The sequence below is a fragment of the Homo sapiens genome, chromosome 3 (assembly GCF_000001405.40).
Source record: "Homo sapiens chromosome 3, GRCh38.p14 Primary Assembly".
Taxonomy (NCBI): Eukaryota; Metazoa; Chordata; class Mammalia; order Primates; family Hominidae; genus Homo; species Homo sapiens.
The window spans coordinates 171901836-171923921 of NC_000003.12; the positions used below are offsets into that span (position 1 = coordinate 171901836).

General features: G+C 39.9%; 1 long non-coding RNA gene across 1 annotated transcript in view; it reads left to right on the top strand.

Moving 5' to 3' along the window:
• LOC105374218 (uncharacterized) overlaps positions 1-22086 on the top strand; it is a 38180-nt gene that overhangs the window by 1372 nt on the left and 14722 nt on the right. Inside the window, exon 2 of the long non-coding RNA XR_924719.2 lies at positions 13933-14062. This is a non-coding gene — a long non-coding RNA (uncharacterized LOC105374218). The remainder of the gene's footprint in view (positions 1-13932; positions 14063-22086) is intronic.

The window sequence follows — 22086 nt, forward strand, 5'->3', positions numbered from 1 at the left end:
CTGTGGCTCTGGACCACCTACTCCCACTACTCTAAGCCACCTGACAGCTGATGGGAAATGCCTCCAGCCAGAGCTCAAATAAAGCCCTGAAGCTTCCAGAGCCTCACCAGGAGGACACTCTCTTGACTAGGAAGGGAAGAGCTGAGTCCAGAGCCCCTGACTCCATTTCCTAATCCATTCCCTTGCACGACATTCTGGCCCAGTGGAATCTGAGATGGCCACAGTGATCTTCCCTTTTTGCCCACAACAAGCAGAAACGAGGCCAGTGTGTTTAAATCAGTGTTTATTGAAGTCTCAGGGATTACGCAAAGTAAATACATCTGGAGAGCAACATGAATCCTGATAATTCTTAAGATACAGCTCACTCTCTGAAGATCACAAGGCCCATCTCATCCTTGTGGGCCCTCGGAAAGAAGTGAGAACACTCTATATTTTCCATCCATGGTGCCACATTTCTTTCACTTGGTAGAAGCCATCCCTAAATCTCACCACCCCAGAGTCACAGCATTCCGTGTGAATAATTTGTGTTCTGGATTTGTTTTATTCCTAGCTGTCCTTTGTCCCCGAGAACCCTGAGATATTTGTAAAGATTTGAAGTAATAAAACAATCTTAAAGAAGGTTTAAAAATTGGGGAAAATTTTAAAAATTGCTCAAACATTTTTAAAACCTTCAGAACACAACTATCAATGTTTTCATACATTCCCTTCTAGTTTTTTTGTATATATTTTATATAGTTTTAATTATACAATATATACACACACTTGTTTTTTGGTATCATTATACCATTTTTCCTATTGATTTTCAGTCTTAATTGTATCTTTTCTGATGATTCCTAAAGTGCCATCATTATATTACCATTTCTATGTTTAGGGCTATTATATTTCTTTCATTTTCAAATTTTTTTAAAGTCATTTTTTTCTGAGTATACAAACACTATAGAACATTTAAAACAAAAAGAAAATAATAAAAAGTTATTTATGCAGTACATAAAATTGTGATTTACAGATGTAGAGATTTGATTTCCACTTTTGTTCCTTGATTTGAAACTTACACAGTTAATCCAGGAAAGGTGTTCTCAGGCTATTGTGAATCATTTGCTGCCATTGCCTCAGTGCAGAATCCTCGGCTGTACATCCCCACCTCAGACCAGATCCAAATCTCAGTTTCCACCAGCAGCCACCCCAAGACAGCTCTGCTCCTCCCAGTGGCCTGCTCCTCAAGGCCTCAGCTCTTTTCCCCCATTTTCTTTTATTATTATTCTTATTTTTAATTGACATAAAACTGTACATATATATGGGGTACTGAGTGATATTTCAATACTTGTATACAATATGTAATGATCAAATCAGAGTAATTAGCATATCCATCACCTCAAAATTGATTATTTCTCCATGTTGGGAGCATCCAAAATCCTCTTTACTAGGCCGGGCGTGGTGACTTACGCCTGTAATCCCAGCACTTTGGAAGGCCGAGGCAGGTGGATCACCTGAGGTCAGGAGTTTGAGACCAGCCTGTCCAACATGGTGAAACCTTGTCTTTACTAAAAATACAAAAATTAGCTGGGCATCGTGGTGTGTGCCTGTAATGCCAACTGCTCGGGAGGCTGAAGCAGGAGAATTGCTTGAACCCAGGAGGCGGAGGTTGCAGTGAGCCAAGGTTGCACCACTGCACTTCAGCCTGAGCAACAAGAACGAAACTCTATCTCAAAAAAAAAAACCTCTCTTCTAGCTACCTGAACGTATGCAATAAATTATTGTTAACTATAGTCACCCTACAGTGCAATAGAACACTAGAACTTAATCCTGTTGTCTACCTATAATTTTATGCCTATTAACCAACCTCTCCCTATCTCCCCTCCCAGCCACTAGTTTCCAGCCTCTAGTTACCACTATTCTACTTCTATGAGATCAAATTTTTGAACTTCTACAGATGAATGAGAACATGTGATATTTATGGTATTTATCTTTCTGTGCCTGGATTCTTTCACTTAGTGTCCTCCAGGCTCACCCATGTTGCCACATATGACAGGATTTCATTCTTTTCTATGGTTGAATAATATTCCATTATTGCATTAGTCCATTCTTGCATGCTATCAATACCTGAGACTGGGTAATTTATAAAGAAAAGAGGTTTAATTGGCTTGCAGTTCTGCAGGCTGTACAGGAAGCATGGCTGGAGAGGCCCCAGGAAAATTAACAAGCATGGTGGAAGGTGAAGAAGAAGCAGGCATGTCTTACATGGTTGGAGCAGAAGGAAAAGAGAGATGGGGGAGGTGCCATACACTTTTAAACAACCAAATCTCACAAGCACTCACTATCATGAAAGCAACATCGAGGGGGAAATCGGCCCCTGAACAAATCACCTCCCACCAGGCCCCACCTCCAACATTGGGGATTACAATTTGACATGAGATTTGAACAGGGACACAGACCCAAACTATATCAATTATATACATGATGGCCATTTCGGTTGTTTTCATAACTTGGTTATTGCAAATAGTGCTGTGCTACACATGGGAGTAAAGATATCTCTTAGACATACTGATTTCATTTTCTTTGGATATATCTGGTAGTGGGATTGTTAGATCATGTGGTAGTTCTGGTTTTAGTTTTTTGAGGAACTGCCACACTGTTTTCCATAATGGCTGTACTAATTTATCTCCTTTTTTTTTCTTTCTCTCTTTGGAATAAAGAGGTTCTTCTAGACTTCCACCTCTCTTGTAAGACCAGCAGAATCTCCCATAGTGTATCTTCTCTGGGACTGGTGGTTCTGCATTGGGAACATGCCTTGGAGCTCCTAGTCTGCAGCACCCACAATGCCCAAAGCAGGTATTGGCAGCTTTCTTAGCAGCAAAGGTTTTTGAAGCATGGAGAACAGAACCTTTCTACCTTATTTTTCACATTGATGAGTATTTTATAATTGCTTTACTTAGCAAGCCGGGGAAATATGTAAGTAGTCATCAGTTTTACAGATGTGAGAATTAAGGTTCAGAAAGGCTAAATGACTTGCTTTAAATAGTCACAAAATTGTGTCATTAGAGAGTTAAATGAGAACTCTCTTTTCTACTAAAACTACATACTTCTTGGGATAGAGATAAATGACACAGTAATGCAGGAAGTACACATGTTGACTTAATAAGGGGGCAGAGGTGAAGCCTAGAGAAAGAGGTGAAAGAAGTCTGGAAGAGCACAGAGCGATCCAACAGAAGTCAAAGGTCGTAGGAAAAAATAATTATGTGGCTCTAACAGCTTAAAAATGCCTATTGTATGTGTTCGTGGTGAGTGTAGTGGTTCTTGATTTGATCCACATGTTTGCCAAGTGGCTCAGCTTCATTCTTATAAGAGCAGGATGAAGGCTTCCCTCCTACCCTGGTGCTTGGTACTACCTCAGACTCCTAGACAACTACCTGCCCCCCACCCTAAACCATACTGGGACTACCAGGCTGGCTCCAGAGGAGTGCATAGGCTGGGCAGGCTGCACTTTCCTTCATTGTCTCACCCCTCAGTTCCTCAGAGCACCATTGACATGAGGCTGTTGGGTGTAACATCTATACTCAAGGTTTGATGTTGGTTAGAGAAAGTATCTCTGGAAAGATGCCTGTGGAGCTGGTATCAATGATTGCTTCTAGGGAGAACTCGTGGCTGGAGGAGGCGGGAAGTGAGCATGGCTTCCTTTCACAGTATATGCTTTGTGTAGCTTTTAAATTTTGTACTCAATGTGTTTATTATCCACTCAAAAATAAAAATGAAGACAAAAGCTTTGCTGCCACGCTGGAGTGCAGTGGCGTGATCTCAGCTCACTGCAAGCTACGCCTCCCAAGTTCATGCCATTCTCCTGCCTCAGCCTCCTGAATAGCTGGGACTACAGGCACCCGCCACCACTCCCAGCTAATTTTTTGTATTTTTAGTAGAGACGGGGTTTCACCATGTTAGCCAGGATGGTCTCGATCTCCTGACCTCATGATCCACCTGCCTCAGCCTCCCAAAGTGCTAGGATTACAGGTGTGAGCCACAGCGCCCGGCCTGGGCTGGCTTTTTTGGCTTGGAACGACTCCTCTAGTCCCTTCCTCTCCTAGTCAGGGTCATATTTCAATTCTTCACAATGAGAATCTTCATTCACTTAAACCCCAACTTCCTCACCACGACAATGGCATGCCTTGCCCTAGAATTCGTCTCAACAACCAGAACAATCCATAGGACACAATAACTAAAAGGAATCCAGTTCTCAAATCTGAGTAATTTTATCTAGAATAGCAATTATAGAATTTTCTATTCACTCTAGATTACAAGTGCATCCAGAGTGGCCTTTGGTGACCCAGTTCCCAAAATTTTCAAGGTCCCTCTGCCAGGGTCAAGTGGAGACATTGTGTCTGGAATTGGTGGGTTCTTGGTCTCACTGACTTCAAGAATGAAGCCACGGACCTTCGCGGTGAGTGTTACAGTTCTTAAAGATAGTGTGTCTGGAATTCGTTCCTTCTGATGTTCGGACATGTTCGGAGTTTCTTCCTTCTGTTGGGTTCGTGGTCTCACTGGCTTCAGGAGTGAAGCTGCAAACCTTCGCGGTGAGAGTTACAGCTCTTAAGGCGGCGCATCTGGAGTTGTTTGTTCCTCCCCTCCAGAATTGTTCATTCCTCCCGGTGGGTTCGTGGTCTTGCTGGCCTCAGGAGTGAAACTGCAGACCTTAGTGGTGAGTGTTACTGCTCATAAACACAGTGCGGACCCAAAGAGTGAGCAGCGGCAAGATTTATTACAAAGAGTGAAAGAACAAAGCTACCACAGGTGGAAGGGGACCAGAGTGGGTTGCTGCTGCTGGCTAGGGCAGCCTGCTTTTATTCCCTTATCTGACCCCACCCACATCCTGCCGATTGGTCCGTTTTACAGAGAGCTGATTGATCCGTTTTGACAGGGTGCTGACTGGTGTATTTACAAACCTTGAGCTAGACACAGAGTGCTGATTGGTGCATTTACAATCCTCCAGCTAGACATAGAAGTTCTCCAAGTCCCTACCAGATTAGCTAGATACAGAGTGCTGATTGGTGCATCCACGAATGCCCCCAGAGCTAGACACACAGTGCTGATTGGTGCATATACAATCCTCTGGCTAGACATAAAAGTTCTCCAAGTCCCCACCTGACTCAGGAGCCCAGCTGGCTTCCCCTAGTGGATCCTGTGCCAGGGCCGTGGGTGGAGCTGCCCGCCAGTCCTGCACAGTGTGCCCACACTCCTCAACCCTTGGGCGGTAGATGGGACCAGGCGCCGCAGAGCAGGGGGCAGCACCCATCCGGGAGGCTCAGGCAGCGTGGGAGCCTATGGGGGGCTGTGGGGGGAGGCCCCGGTATGGCGGGCTGCAGGGCTGCAGGTCCCGAGCCCTGCCCTGTGGGGAGGCAGCTGAGGCCTGCGAGAATTCGAGCGTGGCACCGGCAGGCCAGCACTGCTGGGAGATCTGGCGCACCCTTTGCAGCTGCTGGCCTGGGTGCTAAGCCTCTCACTGCCCACCAGCAGCTCTGAGTGCGGGGCCCACTGAGCCTGCGCCCACCCCTAACTGGAGCTGGCCTGCGAGTGCGGCAGGCAGCCCCGGTTCCCGCCGGCGCCTCTCCCTCCACACCTCCCTGCAAGCAGGGGGAGCCGGCTCCAGCCTTGGCCAGCCCAGAGAGGGGCTCCCACAGTGCGGCGGCGGGCCAAAGGGCTCCTCAAGCGCAGCCAGAGTGGAGGCCGTGGCATGAGGAGGTGCCGAGAGCGAGCAAGGGCTGCTAGCACGTTGTCACCTCTCAATAGGACTCTTCATTCTCTTTCTGAATATACTTAGATCGTCTGATCTTGACTCCAGTACCCTGTGGGTAAAACACACACCCACATACTTCCGAAAGACAAATAGTTCTTAAAGATCATACTGTCTAAACTAAATCACATTAAATGGAAAAATCTTCCTAACAGCTCTGACAATCTACAAAGACTTATCCTAAAATAAACCCTGAAAGTAGACCTTTACATGATTACCTAATGCCATTCTTCTTTTCCTTTCTTCAATCTCCAACTTCCAAACTATGGCCGAAGGTTTTGCTAGGGACAAAGACACTGCCCATCACAAGTCCTGCTCAAACAGAAAACCCATTCACCCTTGATCTTTACCCTTAACTACACAAAAATACTGGCAGACACTTTGAATGTACAGGTTTAGACTTAGGCCAACTTGAATTTTTAGGTAGGGATTTCTATTGCACCATTTGTCTCTAAGTGGAATAAGGTCTGTGAAACATTTACTTACCACTGCCCTTCCCACGAGCTAGCAAAAGCTCCTAGCAATGACATTTAGGAATTGTTTTGTTTTTATTTTTATTTTCCTATTTCTTTACATGACGTGTAATCTAAGCTTGACCTATTTAAAGAATAAATGTAAAAAAGGACAAATGAAACGATTAATTGTCTAGAGGTGAGCATTGTTTACTATATCCTAGTTTTAATTTTTCCTATGCCATTTTTAAATAAAATTGGGATTCTATTGGATAGAGCATTACAAGACTGCTTCTTGTGGAAAGAATGTTCCTGAATGCCTTTCACAACACCTAGATGCTAGATGCTTGCTTTTACAATACTCCCTCCTTATCCAGTTTCCCTTTCTGTGTTTTAGTTACCCACATTCAACCACAGTCCAAAAATATTACATACAATATTTTGAGAGAGAAAAACTACATTCACATAACTTTTATTACAGTATATTGTTATTATTCTATTTTCATTATTAAGTTATTCCTGTTAATTTCTTACTATGTCTAATTTATAAATTAAACTTTCTCATAGGTGTGTATGTATGCATAGGAAAAAGCATAGCATATATAGGGTTCAGTACTATCTGCAGTTTCAGGCATGCACTGGGGGTCTTGAAACATCTCCTGAGGATAAAGGGAGTCTACTATGTCTGAATTCCGATATAATTCACATTCCATAAGATTTATCTTTTTAAAATGTAAAATTCAGTGGTTTTTAGCATATTCCCAAAGTTATGCAACCATCATTATTATCTGATTCCAGAACAGTTTCATGATCCAAAAAGAAACTCCATACCCCTAAAAGCAGTCACTCTCCACCCCTTCTACCGTAAGCCCCTGGCAAACACTAAGCTACTTTCAATCTCTAGGGATTTGCCTACTTTAGATATATTATACAAATGAAATCACACAACATGTGGTCTTTTATGACTGGCTTCTTTCACTTACCATAATGTTTTCAAAGCTCAGCCATTTATGAGTACTTCATTCCTTTTTATGACTGAGTGATATTCCACTGTATGAATATATCAATTTTGTTTATCCATTAATCAGTTGGTGGACATTTGTGTTGCTTCCAATTTGGGGCTGTTATGAATAATACTGCTGTAAACATTTGTGTACAAGTTTCTGGGTGAACATATGTTTCATTTCTCTTGGGTATTTACCTAGAAGTAGAATTACTGGATCATATTTTAACTCTATGTTTAACCATTTAAGGAATTTTCAAACTATTTTCCAAAGCAGCTGCACCATTTTAAAGTCGCACCAGCAGGGTATGAGGGTTCCAGTTTCCCCACATTCTTACCAAGGTTTACTGGTATCTTTCTTTTTTATTATAGCTATCAAATAGCTTTTGTAAAGTGGTATATCATTAAGGGTTTGATTTACATTTCTCTGATAGGCTAATGAGCATCTTCACATTTTATTGGCCATTTACATATCTTCTGTGGAGAAGTATCCATTCAGATGTTGTGCTTATTTTTAAATTGGGCTATTTGTCTTATTGTTGAGTTGTAAGAGTTCTGTATATATTCTGGACACTGGACTCTTATCAGATATATGATTTGCAAATATTTTTTCCATTCTGTATGTTGTCTTCTCATTTTCTTTTTTGAAACTTTTATTGTTATTATTATTATTTTAGAGACAGGTTCTTGCTCTGTCACCCAGGTTGGAGTACAGTGGTGCCATCGTAGCTCATTGCAGCCTTGAATTCCTGGGTTCAAGCAATCCTCCTGCCTCAGTCTCCTGAGTAGCTAGGATGACAGGTGTGCCACCATGCCTGGTTAATTTTTTTTGTTTTCTTTCAGAGACAGGGTCTCACTATATTGCCCAGGCTGGACTTGAACTCCTGGACTTAAGCTATCTTCCCACCTCCATCTCCCAGAGCACTGGGATTACAGGTGTGAGCCACCACACCCAACCTTACTTTCTTAATAATGTCCTTTAGAGCACAAGAGTTTTTATTTTGATTAAGTTCAACTTGCCTTTTGGGGGTAGGGGGCAGGGTTGTTCATGCTTATGGTATTATATCTAAGAAACATTGCCTGATCAAAGGTCACAAAGATTTACACCTATGTCTTCTTATTTTTTTCTTTCTTCTTTTCTTTCTTTCTTTCTTTCCTTCTTTCTTTCTTTTTTGACAAGGTCTTGCTATTTTGCTCAGATTGGTGTACAGTAGCTGTTCACAGGTGTAAGCATCAAAGTGTCCTGCAGCCTCAAACTCTTGGCCTCAAGTGATCCTCCTGGCTTATCTCATGAGTAGCTGGGACTACAGGCATACACCACCACTTTTGGCTTTATATCTATGTTTTTAAAGAGTTTTGGCTTTTACATTTAGATCTTTAATTTATTTTTAGTTAATTTTTATATGGTGTAAGGTTAGGAATCCAACTTTATTCTTTTGCGTATGAATTTCTAGTTGCACCAGCACGATTTATTGAAAAGACGTATCTTTCCCCCATTGAATAATCTTGACACTCTAGCCAAAAATCAATTGACCATAAATATGAGTTTATTTCTAAATCTTCAGCCCTATACCATTGATCTATATGTTTACCCTAATGCCAGTACCACACAGCTTTTCCTTAAAAAGAGAGATAGAGTGCTGAGAATTTGAAAGACATTGCTCTGAATTTGTACATCAATTTGGAGATATTACTATAACAATGTTAAGTTTTCAATCTAGGAACAGGGATATCTTTCTATTTATTTAGATTTTTTAAAGTTTTTTTTTTCAGAATGTTCTGTAGTTTTCAGTATGTAACTCTTGCAGTTTTTTGTTAACTTTGTTTCTGAGTTATTTCCGTTTCATTTCATTTTGTCCATTGCCAGTGTGTAAAAATACAGTTGATTTTTGTATATTGATCCTCTGTCTACAACATTGCTTGTTTATTACTACTAATATTAATACTAATAGGTTTTTGGGGATCCTGTAGAATTTTCTACATACAAGATCATCTGCAATTAGAAATGGATTTACTTCTTTTCTAATCTGAATGCCTTCTTTTCCTTCTTTTTCTTGCTTAATTGCTCTGGTTACAACCTCAAGTACCATGCTGAATAGAAATGGCAAAAACAGATATCTTTATCTTCTTCTTGATCTTAGGAAGAAAGCTTTTAGTCTTTCATCATTAAATATAATGTTAGCTTTGGATATTTTGTAGAAGTCCTTTGTAAGGTTGAAGAAGTTCCCATCCTTTCCTGGTTTTTATTATGAAATGTGTGGTATTTTTATTAAACACTTTTATGCGATATTGTGATGATTATCTGAATTTTTCTATTAATATTGTATATTATAGTAATTGCTTTTCACAGGTTGAGCCAAACTTGGACCCGTAGGATAAAACCTACTTAGTCATGATGTATCATCTTTTCAAATGTTGCTGGGTTTTGTTTGTTAGTATATCGTTGAGGATGTTTGCATCTGTATACATAAAAGATATGTATGTCCTTTTCTCCTTGTGATGTCTTTGCCTAGTTTTGGTTTCAGGGTAGAGTCAGCCTCATAGAATGAATTGGGAAGTGTTCCCTTCTCCTCTACTTTTTGAAAGAGTTTGTGAATGATTTGTGTTAACTCCTTAAACATCTGGTAGAATTTATCAGTGAAGCCATTTGGCCCTGAGACGTTTTGGGAGGAAATTTTTTATTACTAATTCAATCTCTTTGCTTGTTATACATCTATTTAGATTTTCTATTTCTCTTTGGGTCAATTTTGGTAAGTGTGTCTTTCTATGAATTTGTTGATTTCATCTAGGTTATCTAATTTGGTGGCATAAGGGTGTTCAATGTATTCTGTTACAATCCCTTTATACTTATGTAAAGTCAACATTAATGTCCCCCTTTTCATTCCTGATTTTAGTAATTTGAATATTGTCTCTTTTTTCCTTGGCATAGACTTGGCATTGTTTTTTAACAAATACAGAGCAATTTGTGCTCCCAGAACTTCACCTCATTCCAATTTCTCTTGGTCTGACTGAGAAGAATTATTGTGGAAGGGGATGAATATGATTTGTTCATGGACTTGTAAAGTGATTTCTTCCACTCCTTTTGGTGCTTCTGCCAAGTGAAGATTTTTAATATTTTCCAATAAAAAGAGACATGGATAACAATAAGAATGCAATAAACAAAGGCAGCTTTGTGAAGAGATATCTTTTTATTATGATTTGCAAGAAGATTTAGGCATAATATTTATAAATATAATGTTCTATTTATTTTGAATTCTCATTAAAAGATATCATATTGGCCGGGTGCAGTGGCTCACCCCTGTAATCCCAACACTTTGGCGGGCCGAGGCAGACGGATCACCCGAGGTCAGGAGTTTGAGACCAGCCTGGCCAACATGGTGGAACCCTATCTCTACTAAAGATAAAAAATTAGCCAGGTGTCGGGGTATGCACCTGTAATCCCAGCTACTGGAGAGGCTGAGGCAGGAGAATCACTTGAACCCAGGAGGCGGAGACTGCAGTGAGCCGAGATCGTGCCACTGCACTCCGGCCTGGGTGACAGAGTGAGACTCTTTCTCAAAAAAGAAAAAAAGATATCAAATTATTTATGTATTAAAATGTTAATAACCTATTAAGTTGTAAAAATTAATCGCTGGCCACATATTTGTGCTAAAAGTATAAAAACATGTATGGGAAGGCTACAAATAAAATAAAAGCCATTTCTAGAGGGGGAGAGAGTGAGAAAGTATCGGAGGTGAGACTTCAGCTGTGTAGGTAAAGATTTGGGGTTTTTTTTAAAAAGAGAGGATCACAGAGATTTGAAGCAAATATACCATTAATGGTAATGTGTGAAATCTGGATAGGAGATTCTTGAATGTCTAATTTTAATGAACAGATAATAACAAAATATTTAAACAAAAGAAACACTGAAAATTTTTTTTTTTTTTTGATTCGTAGTCTCGCTCTGTTATACAGGCTGGAGTGCAGTGGCACGATCTTGCCTCTCTGCAACCTCTGCCTCCTGGGTTCAAGTGATTCTTCTGCCTCAGCCTCCCAAGTAGCTGGAATTACAGGTGCACGCCACCGCACCCAGCTAATTTTTCTTTTTTTTTTTCTTTTTTTTTTTTTTTGAGACGGGGTCTCGCTCTGTCGCCCAGGCTGGAGTGCAGTGGCGCGATCTCTGCTCACTGCAAGCTCCGCCTCCCGGGTTCACGCCATTCTCCTGCCTCAGCCTCCCAAGTAGCTGGGAGTACAGGCGCCGGCCACCCCCCCCAGCTAATTTTTTGTATTTTTAGTAGAGGCAGGGTTTCACCGTGGTCTCGATCTCCTGACCTCGTGATCCGCCCACCTCGGCCTCCCAAAGTGCTGGGATTACAGGCGTGAGCCACCGCGCCCAGCCCTAATTTTTCTATTTTTAATAGAGACGGGGTTTCACCATGTTGGCCAGGCTGGTCTCAAACTCCTGACCTCAGGTGATCAGTCCACCTTGGCCTCCCAAAGTGTGAGGAATACAGGCGTGAGCCCCATGCCTGCCCTTACACTGAAGTTTTAAATTGGCTTTTAAAAGTCTAATGTTGTTGTAATAATGAGCAAAGGAAATAAACAGACAAATCACAAAAGGAAATAAAATTTCCCCACCTAGGTTACCCTTCTGGACTGAATAACTTACTCCCCCAGCTTCAGGAATTGCCTTGGCATGCTTCCTTTACCCAGTCGAACTTCATCCAGTGACTGGCCAATGCGGGGTATAAAAGTCTGACCCCCTTAGTCAAACTTGGAACAATTCTGAAGAGACATCCCAGCTTCAGAGTTCCCTATAGTTTAGTTGAGACACTTGTTGAGACTGCCCCTCAGCCCAACTTTTTCCTCTGTCCTCTGTTGTCCAGTCCTGCTTATTCCTTGCCCCACAAGTATTGGTCCCAGGGACTTTTCTGTTTACATATCTCTATCTCAGAATCTGCTTTCTGGAGAATTCTGCTTGTGGTATATAGGTAGATAAATACAAAAGCTCACTAATGATAAACAATAGCTCCAATTAAAACCAGAAAACGTAATTATGATGAGAGCAGGATGGTAGCCACTGGAGTGTGGCAGAACATGTTAGTTTTCTGTATAAAGTCCATCTCCTCTTTTTACTGAGTAACATAATCCTTTTTTTATTTGAAGCAGTAATGTACTCTACCAGAAGGTATATTTTCTAGCCTGTCTTGTACCTAGGTGTGTCCATGTGACTAAGATAAAACCACTGAAAAGTCAATGTTACTGGACCGCCAAATACGGTTCTTTAAGAAACTAGGCTCAGATAGTAGGTATTCCTCTTTCTGTATCCCTGTTTCTCCTTCCAGCCGCCTGGAATGGGGATGCAATGGTTAGATACGCACCAATCTGGTGCATATCTTTCCATAATTTTTCCTTTGTCTATACAAACACATGCAGATATGTATTCAACAATCATATTGTGGCCTTGAGGATGGAAGCATGGTGTCCATGAGAAAAGACAAAGAGAAGCTGGGTGTCCACTGATTTCAAAGGACGCCATATCCCCTTGTATTGCTACCTCTGGACTTCACAATTTTGTGAAGGGCTTTTTGTGCATTGTATATGAAATTTTGTCGTTAGGTATTTGAGCCACTGTTGGTTCTAGTTTTCTATTATAAACTACCAAATATAATTATAATTTAAACAGATGGGTAATTATATGCTCTGCTAGTAAAATAAAAAGTGAAAAATTATTTTGGAAAATGATTAAGCATTTGGCTTGTAATGTTCTCACTGGAATGATTCTACTTCCAAGAATAAATTCTAAGAAAACTAAACAGTTGTGTGTGTGGTGTGTGTGTGTGTGTGTGTGTGTGTGTAGTTTTAAGAATAAAGACATTTAAGTCATGAAAAAAAATAGAAACTACCTAAACATGCAACATAATGGAATGGGTAATAAAATACGATGTAGCCATTGAATTTAAAAATTAATTCAAGAAATTGAATTAACTCAAGAAATTGAGAAATTAACTCAAGAAATTGAGAGCATTTTTATATTAAAAAGCATTTTGTGGTAACAATTTAAACAACATAGAAGTTCGTGAACGGAAAGTAATACTTTCCCTCTCCTATTCTAGATCCATATCCCTGACTCTTTCCAATCTGATGCATATCTTTCCATAATTTTTCCTTTGTCTATACAAACACATGCAGATATGTATTCATATACAAGAAGACTTTTAAAAACTGGGTTATAACACATATTTAAAAGAAAAATTATCAGTAGCATGGAGAAATGTTTACTTTACAATAACAAGTTTTACAAGCAACATAAAATTTGATACAGTACAGCAAGATCTCAACTACATTTCAAACGTAGAAAAAAGAAAAAAGTCTAGAGTGAAATATATAATAAGTATGTAAATAAATGAGTATTAAGTACTAATTGAAAATATTAATGAATAATGTTTACTATTAATAATAAATCTTTTCTCCTAGAACTAACAGAGCATTGTTCTCTTCACAATTCTCATAAGGCTTAAAGTAAAACACATCTTACTACATTTTAAGGGAAATATTGGAGGCTGAGGGCACATATTTGAACCACCTGCCTCCCAGTTCCATCCAAAATGACCTGGAAAATTTAAAATATGTAAAACCTTAAATCAGTACTGGAAGCTAGGGAAGGAAGCCATATAAATGCCAGAAACTTCAAAGAATTTCTTTTAAATCCTGTGCAGTTTGGACCTGATTAAAGAAGGACAACAAAGGCCAATTTGCCATCACCAAAGGAGCAGCTTGACCTGGAGGGATGAGGCCTGGAGGCCGACAGCAGGACTCCGTCAGTGATTCTTTCAGCTCTTGAAAATGGTGAGAGTTTGATGGTATTAGAGTTGGAAAACAGTGGTAAATATTTCAAGCAGAAAGCCCATGCGTGGTGGCAATAGCTGTAATATTGGATGATTTCCCAAAGCTTTGGAGATTTTTCACAGTCTCTGTGGAGCAGGCCCTGAAGGCAAGGCCTAAGTGGCTACCCCACGTAGCAGGCCATCGCTGACAGCAGTGTTCTTTGATGAGGCAGTGGGCACCTGGCTAGAGACCTCACCTGGGAAGTAGGGTCAGGGCAGCTATATCACATGCCAGAAATGAGCCTGGGGGCCCTCAGAAGCCCTAGATAGGAAGCTCACCACAAAATCTATCAACTAGCCCAGCACTTTCACCAAATACAAAAAGAAACCCTATAGGCCAGGTGCGGTGGCTCACGCCTGTAATCCCAGCACTCTGGGAGGCCGAGGTGGGTGGATCACCTGAGGTCAGAAGTTCAAGACCAGCCTGGCCAACATGGCAAAACCCTGTCTCTACTAAAAATACAAAAATTAGCCAGGCGTGATGGCGTACATCAGGAGGTTGAGGCAGGAGAATTGCTCCAACCCAGGAGGCAGAGGTTGCAGTGAGCCAAGATTATGCCACTGCACTCCAACCTGGGCAACAGAGTGAGATTCCATCTCAAAAAAGAAAAGAAAAGAAACCCTATAAAGATGAAGTTTAGATAAATGTATTTTTTAAAAATTGACCCCTCCTCACATAATATGTAAGAATTAATTTGAAATGGACCATAGACTTAAATGTAAAACATAAATAAATAAGGCTTCTAGAAGAAAACATAATGTCTTTATGATCTTTGTTTAGGCAAAGTTTCTTAAATAGGACACCAAAAACACTAGCCAGAAAATAAAAGATTGAAAAAAATTGAACTTCATTAAAATGAAGAATTTATGTTTATCAAAAGACAATATGGGGAGGGTGACAAGGCAAGCCACAGGCTGGGAGAAGATATTTGTAATAGATTTAACCAACCACGGACTCATACCCAGACTGTATAAAAAATTTCCACAAATCAGTAAGACTATAACTAAAAACCACTTAAAAATAAGTTAAAAAAAAAAAAACTTTAACACACACACTTTACAGAAGTGGAGAGCGTATGGATGGTTGACCAAAAAGTGAATAAGCACCAGTCACAGGGAAAGACAAATAGCTGACAGTAAGAAGTGTTGACAAAGACGTAGGGCAACTGGAATTCTCAAAAATTGTTGGTAAAAGTGTAAACAGATTTTTTAAAAACTTTGGAAGAACGTTTGACTAACACTAAACATATGTATAATCTATTACCCAGAATTTCACTTTTGGGTATGTAACCTACAAAAACTAGTGTTTAAATCTATCAAAATACATGTGCAAGCATGGTCACAGGTGCTTTATTTATGATGTCAAAAACTAATAGTAGAACTAGTGTGTGTGTGTATATATATGTATTTTTTTTTTTTGAGACAGAGTATCACTTTGTCGCCCAGGCTGGAATGCAGTGGCACCATCTCAGCTCATTGCAACCTCTGCCTCCTGGGTTCAAGCGATTCTAGTGCCTCAGCCGGACACTGCCACACCCAGCTGATTTTTGTATTTTTAGTAGAGACGGGGTTTCACTATGTTGGCCAGGCTGGTCTCGAACTCCTGCCCTCAGGTGATCTGCCCACCTCTACCTCCCAAAGTGCTGGGATTACAGGCATGAGCCACCATGCCTGGCCTAAGTATACCATTTTTAGATTACATGAGAAAAAGAACAAACTACCTGCATATGCAAAACCATGGATGAATTTCATCAATGTAATGTTGAGCAAGAGAAACCAGACTCAAAAAATAGGACAATGGTTGAGTCCTTCAAGAAACAGATGCCAAATTTGAGTTAGAAGTGCGAAAGATTTGCTGGGAATATAAGTGGACATGGAAAGCCATTAAGCCTGACATTTAGAGGGTGAAGGATGGAGAATTGGGTAGAAAGGGCCTCAGCCTCCAGTACAGCTCTGGGAAAGTCTTTTCCAGTGCAATGAGAAGCTTCAATACAAAGTTATCCATATAGGAATCACTCACTGGCCAGAAATGGGAAGTCTTTATACCATATCCATGCTCAATCATTGACTGCTGCTACCCAGAGAGCACATTGTCATGTCTCGAAAGCCAAGACAGATGCTGAAGCTCATACATTTGGAGACTGTTTACCAACTGCAGTCTCTTATAACAGATTCTCTCTTGAAGGAGATCTGAGCAATACACCTCTATGACTGCCACAGGTACATTCTGTGCACAGGTACATTCTGATTGCAATTACATGAAGTCTAAAGCTGTCACATATAATCTGCAGTGACAGAGGTCAGAAGAGCTTGGGGATTTGACTAGGGAAGGGCAAGAGGGACCCTGTTGGGTTGCAGGAAATATTTTCTTTCTATATCTGGATAGTGATTATATGAATATATACATACTTTAAAATTCAATAAGCCGTACACTTAACGTTATGATATGTAAGTTACAGTCTTACTAAAAAAGGGTGGAGATGTAGGAAAGAGGTGCCTTTCCAGGTTTATACATGGTCCTGACTCCCTGAAGTTGTTAGATTAAGAAACTAGTCACAATCCTCCTTTTCAGATTTAAGAGATCCCTAAAAGTATTCCCCCAAAAAGAAGGAAGAGGTTTTTAAAAATCCCTTCGCCTGCTTTTGTGGGGGAGATAACTAGAACAAATTTTCATTGCTTAATTATAAATAAACAGAAAACTCTCACATAGCTAGGGCTAGGTTTAGCTGTGACAGAAAACCCAAAATAATACTAACTTAACCAAGATGAAATTTAGTTCACTGTCATCTAAAAGAAGTTCAAAAGCAGGCAGTTGAGAGCTGCTACAGTGCTCAATAGTGTCAAGGACCTGGGATGCTTCTATTTTACTATTCTGCCATCCTTGGCACTTGGTTTCTACCTCACTGTGGAAGAAGGCTGCTTGAGCTATAGTCATTACATCTGAATTCCAGCTACAAGAAAATATGGCAAAAAGGCACTCCTCTTTCTATTTAAAGACACTCCTCAGAAGTTGTACATAGCATATCTATTTATATCCCTTTGGCTGAAACTTAGTTTTTGTTTGGTTTGGTTTTTGTTTTGAGGCAGAGTCTCGCTCTGTTGCCCAGGCTGGAGTGCAGTGGCATGATCTTGGCTCACTGCAACCTCTGCCTCCCGGGTTCAAGCTACTCTCCTGTCTCAGCCTCTTGAGTAGCTGGGATTACAGGCATGTACCACCATGCCCAGCTAGTTTTTGTATTTTTAGTAGAGACTGGGTTTCACCATGTTGGTCAGGCTGGTCTCGAATTCCTAACCTCAAGTGATCTGCCCACCTCAGCCTCCCAAAGTGTTGGGATTACAGGCGTGAGCCCCTGGAACTTAGTTTTATGAACACATCTAGCTACCAGGGAGGCTGGAACACACAGGGACAACTAGCAGATTCTGCCATAACCCCACAGGAGAATTTGTAGTGTAAAGGAAAGAAAACATAGCATGCAAAAGGTGGAGGAAGATCAGACTATAAAAACCTATCTACTTTAGAAACATAAATTTTTAAATGCATCTATATTGTGCTCTTAATTTTCAAAATGCATGTACACTCTGAAAAAAGTGATAAAAGATAAATTGATCAGTAACAGGCAGAGTTGAGAAAAGAATTAGCTAAGCTAGAAAGGGAAATCAGGTGACTAAAAGGAGAACCAGGTGACTAAAGAAAGAACATTTTCAAAATAACTATGCAATTGTGAGACTGCGTGCTGAACTGGAAGCAGTGGAGAACAGAATTAACAAGGCAGAAAACAGAATCATTAATATGGTTGACAAGCTTAATTAATTTTCCTGTAGTAAATAAGAAAAGGAAAACAAGGCTGGGCACAGTGGCTCATGCCTGTAGTCCCAGCACTTTGGGAGGCTGAGGCGCACAGATCACGAGGTCAGGAGTTCAAGACCAGCCTGGCCAACATGGTGAAACCCTGTCTCTACTGAAAATACAAAAATTAGCTGGGTGTGGTGGTGCGCATCTGTAATCCTAGCTACTCGGGAGGCTGAGGCAGGACAATCATTTGAACCCAGGAGGCAGAGGTTGCAGTGAGTCCAGATCGCACCACTGCACTCCAGCCTGGGCAACAAAGCAAGATTAGACTCCCTCTAAAAAAAAGAAAAAAGAAAAAGAAAAATGAAAGGGAAAACAAAACCCAAAGAAAGAAAATTAGTATATCAAAGAGATATCTTCACTCCCGATGTTTACTGCAGCACTATTCACAATCGCCAACATTTGAAAGCAACCTAAGTGTCCATCAACAGATGAAAGGATAAAGAAAATGTGGTACATATACATAATGGAGTACTATTCAGCTATAGAAAAGAATGAGATCAACTGAAAGAAGGAAAATGGTGAATAGGAGGCATGACTGGATTTCAGCTCCCATTCAGACGGACAGAGCAGCATGTGGGGACTTGCATTGTGAACTTTTGCTCCAGAACTATTGCATGAATATACCAGGAGAGCCGAGAGAATTGACAGACCTTCTGAAGGAAGCGGATTGCTCCTGTGTACCCAAATACTGTGCTGGTATCCATGGCAGAGAGACCTGAAGACAGTTCACATCACAGCACTCTGTGCAGACAACATCCAGTACCAGCTCAGAGCCTGGTAGCCCTGCTGGGTGACTAGATCCAGAAAAGAAGTAACAACCATTACAGCTCAGCTCTCAGGAAGCCACATCCCTAGGAAAAAGGGAAGACATTAAGGGAACACAATGTGGGACAATAGAATCTGAATAGCAGCCTTGAGCCCCAGATCTCCCCTCTGACATAGCCTACCCAAATTAGAAGGAATCAGAAAAATAATTCTGGTAATATGACAAAACAAGGTTCTTTAACAACCCCCCAAAAATCACACTAGCTCACCAGCAAGGGGTTCAAACCCAGAAAAAATCCCTGATTTACCTAAAAAAAGAATTCTGAAGGTTGATTATAAAGCTAATCAAGGAGGCACCAGAGAAAGGTGAAGTCCAATTTAAGGAAATAAAAAAATGATACAAGAAATTAGGGGAGAAATCTTCAGTGAAATAGATAGCATAAATACAAAACAATCACAACTTTAGGAAATAGAGAACACCCTTAGAGAAATGCAAAATGTTCTGGAAAGTCTCAGCAATAGAATCAGACAAGCAGAAGAAAGAACTTCAGAACTCAAAGACAAGGTGTTTGAATTAACTCAATCCAACAAAGACAAAGAAAAAAGACTGAAATAAAATGAACAAAGTCTCCAGGAAGTTTGGGATTATGTTAAATGACCAAACCCAAAAATAACTGGCATTCCTGAGGAAGAAGAGAAATCTAAAAGTTTGGAAAACATATTTAGGGGAATATCAAGGAAAACTTCCCTGGCTTTGCTAGAGACCTAGACATCCAAATACAAAAAGCTCAAAGACCAAGATCGTGCCATTGCACTCCAGCCTGGGCAACAAGAGTGAAACACTGTCTTGGAAAAAAAAAAAAAAAAAAAAAAAAGCTCAAAGAACACCTGGGAAATTCATCACAAAAAGATCACCACCTAGGCATATTGTCATCAGGTTATCTAAAGTCAAGACAAAGAAAAGAATCTTAAGAGCTGTGAGGCAAAAGCACCAGGTAACCTATAAAGGAAAACCTATCAGATTAACAACAGATTTCTCAGTAGAAACCCTACAAGCTAGAAGGTATTGGGGCCCTATCTTCAGCCTCCTTAAACAAAATAATTATCAGCCAAGAATTTTGCATCCAGCAAAACTAAGCTTCATAAATGAAGGATAAATACAGTCTTTTGCAGACAAACAAATGCTGAGAGAAGTTGCCACTACCAAGCCAGCACTATAAGAACTGCTAAAAGAAGCTCTAAATCTGGAAACAAATCCTGGAAACACATCGAAATAGACTCTCTTTAAAGCACAAACCTCCCAGGACCTATAAAACAAACAAACAAACAAAACCCAAGGTATATAGACAACAAATAGCACAATGAATGGAATAGTAACTCACATCTCAATACTAACATTGAATGTAAGTGGCCTAAATGCTCCACTTAAAAGATACAGAATTGCAGAATGGATAAGAATTCACCAACCAAGTATCTGCTGCCTTCAAGGGACTCACCTATCACACATAAACTTAAGGTAAAGGGGTGGAAAAAGACATTCCATGCAAATGGACACCAAAAGCAAGCAGGAGCTATTCTTATATCAGACAAAACAAACTTTAAAGCAACAGCAGTTAAAAAAGACAAAGAGGGACATTATATAATGATAAAAGGCCTTGTCCAATAGGAAAGTATCACAATCCTAAACACATATGCACCTAACACTGGAGCTCCAAAATATATAAAACAATTACTACTAGACCTAGGAAATGAGATAGACAGCAACACAATAACAGTGGAAGACTTCAATATTCCACTGACAGCACTAGACAGGTTATCAAGAAGAAAGTCAACAAAGAAACAATGGATTTAAACTATACCCTGGAAAAAATGGACTTAACAGATATTTACAGAACATTCTACCCAAGAACCACAGAATATACATTCTGTTCATCAGTGCATGGAATTTTCTCCAGGATAGACCATATGATAGGCCATGAAACAAGTCTTAATAAATTTAAGAAAATTTAAATTATATCAAGTACTCTCTTAGACCACTGAGAGAGTGGAATAAAACTGGAAATCAACTCCAAAAGTAACCTTCAAAACAATACAAATACATGGAAATTAAATAACCTGCTCCTGAATGATTACTGGGTCAACAATGAAATCAAAATGAAAATTAAAAAACTATTCAAACTTAAATGATAATAGTGACACAACCTATCAAAACCTCTGGGATACAGCAAAGACAGTGCTAAGAGGAAAGTTCATAGCCTTAAATGCCTACATCATCAAAAAGTCTGAAAGAGCACAAACAGACAATCTAAGGTCACACCTCAAGGAACTAGAGAAACAAAAACAAACCAAGCCCAAACCCAGCAGAAGAAAGGAAATAACCAAGATCAGAGCAGAATTAAATGAAGTTGAAGTGAACAAAAAGCATGCAAAAGATAAACGAAATGAAAAGCTGGTTCTTTGAAAAGATAAGCAAAATTGATAGACCATTAGCAAGATTAACCAAGAAAAGAAGAGAGAAGACCCAAATAAGCTCAATTAGAAATGAAACAGTAGATTTTACAACCAACACCACAGAAATACAAAAGTTCATTCAAGGCTACTATGAACACCTTTATGCACATAAACTAGACAAACTCGAGGAGATGGATAAATTCCTGGAAAGGCACAACCCTCCTAGCTTAAATCAGAAAGCATTAGAAATCTTGAACAGACCAATAACAAGCAGTGAGATTGAAATAGTTATTAAAAAAATTGCCAACAAAAAAAAAGTCCAGGACCATATGGATTTACAGCTGAATTCTACCACATTCAAAGAATAATTGGTTACCAATCCTATTGACACTATTCTACAAGATAGAAAAAGAGGGAATCCTCCCTAAATCATTCTATAAAACCAGTATCACTCTAATACCAAAATCAGGAAAGGACATAACAAAAAAAGAAAACTACAGACCAATATCCCTAATGAACATAGAAGCAAAAATCCTTAACAAAATACAAGCTAACCGAATCCAACAGCATATCAAAAAGATAATGCACCATGATCAAGTGGGTTTCATACCAAGGATCAAAGGACGGTTTAACATATGTAACTCAATAAATGTGATACACCACATAAACAGAATTAAAAATAAAAATCACATGATCATCTCAATAGATGGAGAAAAAGCATTTGACAAAATCCTTTATGAGTAAAATCCTCAGCAAAATCAGCACACAGGGGACATATTTCATGTAATAAAAGCCATCTATGACAAAACCACAGCCAGCATAATACTGAATGGGGAAAAGTTGAAAGCATTCCCTCTGAGAAGTGGAACAGGACGAGGATGCCCACTCTCACCATTTCTATTCAACATAGTACTAGA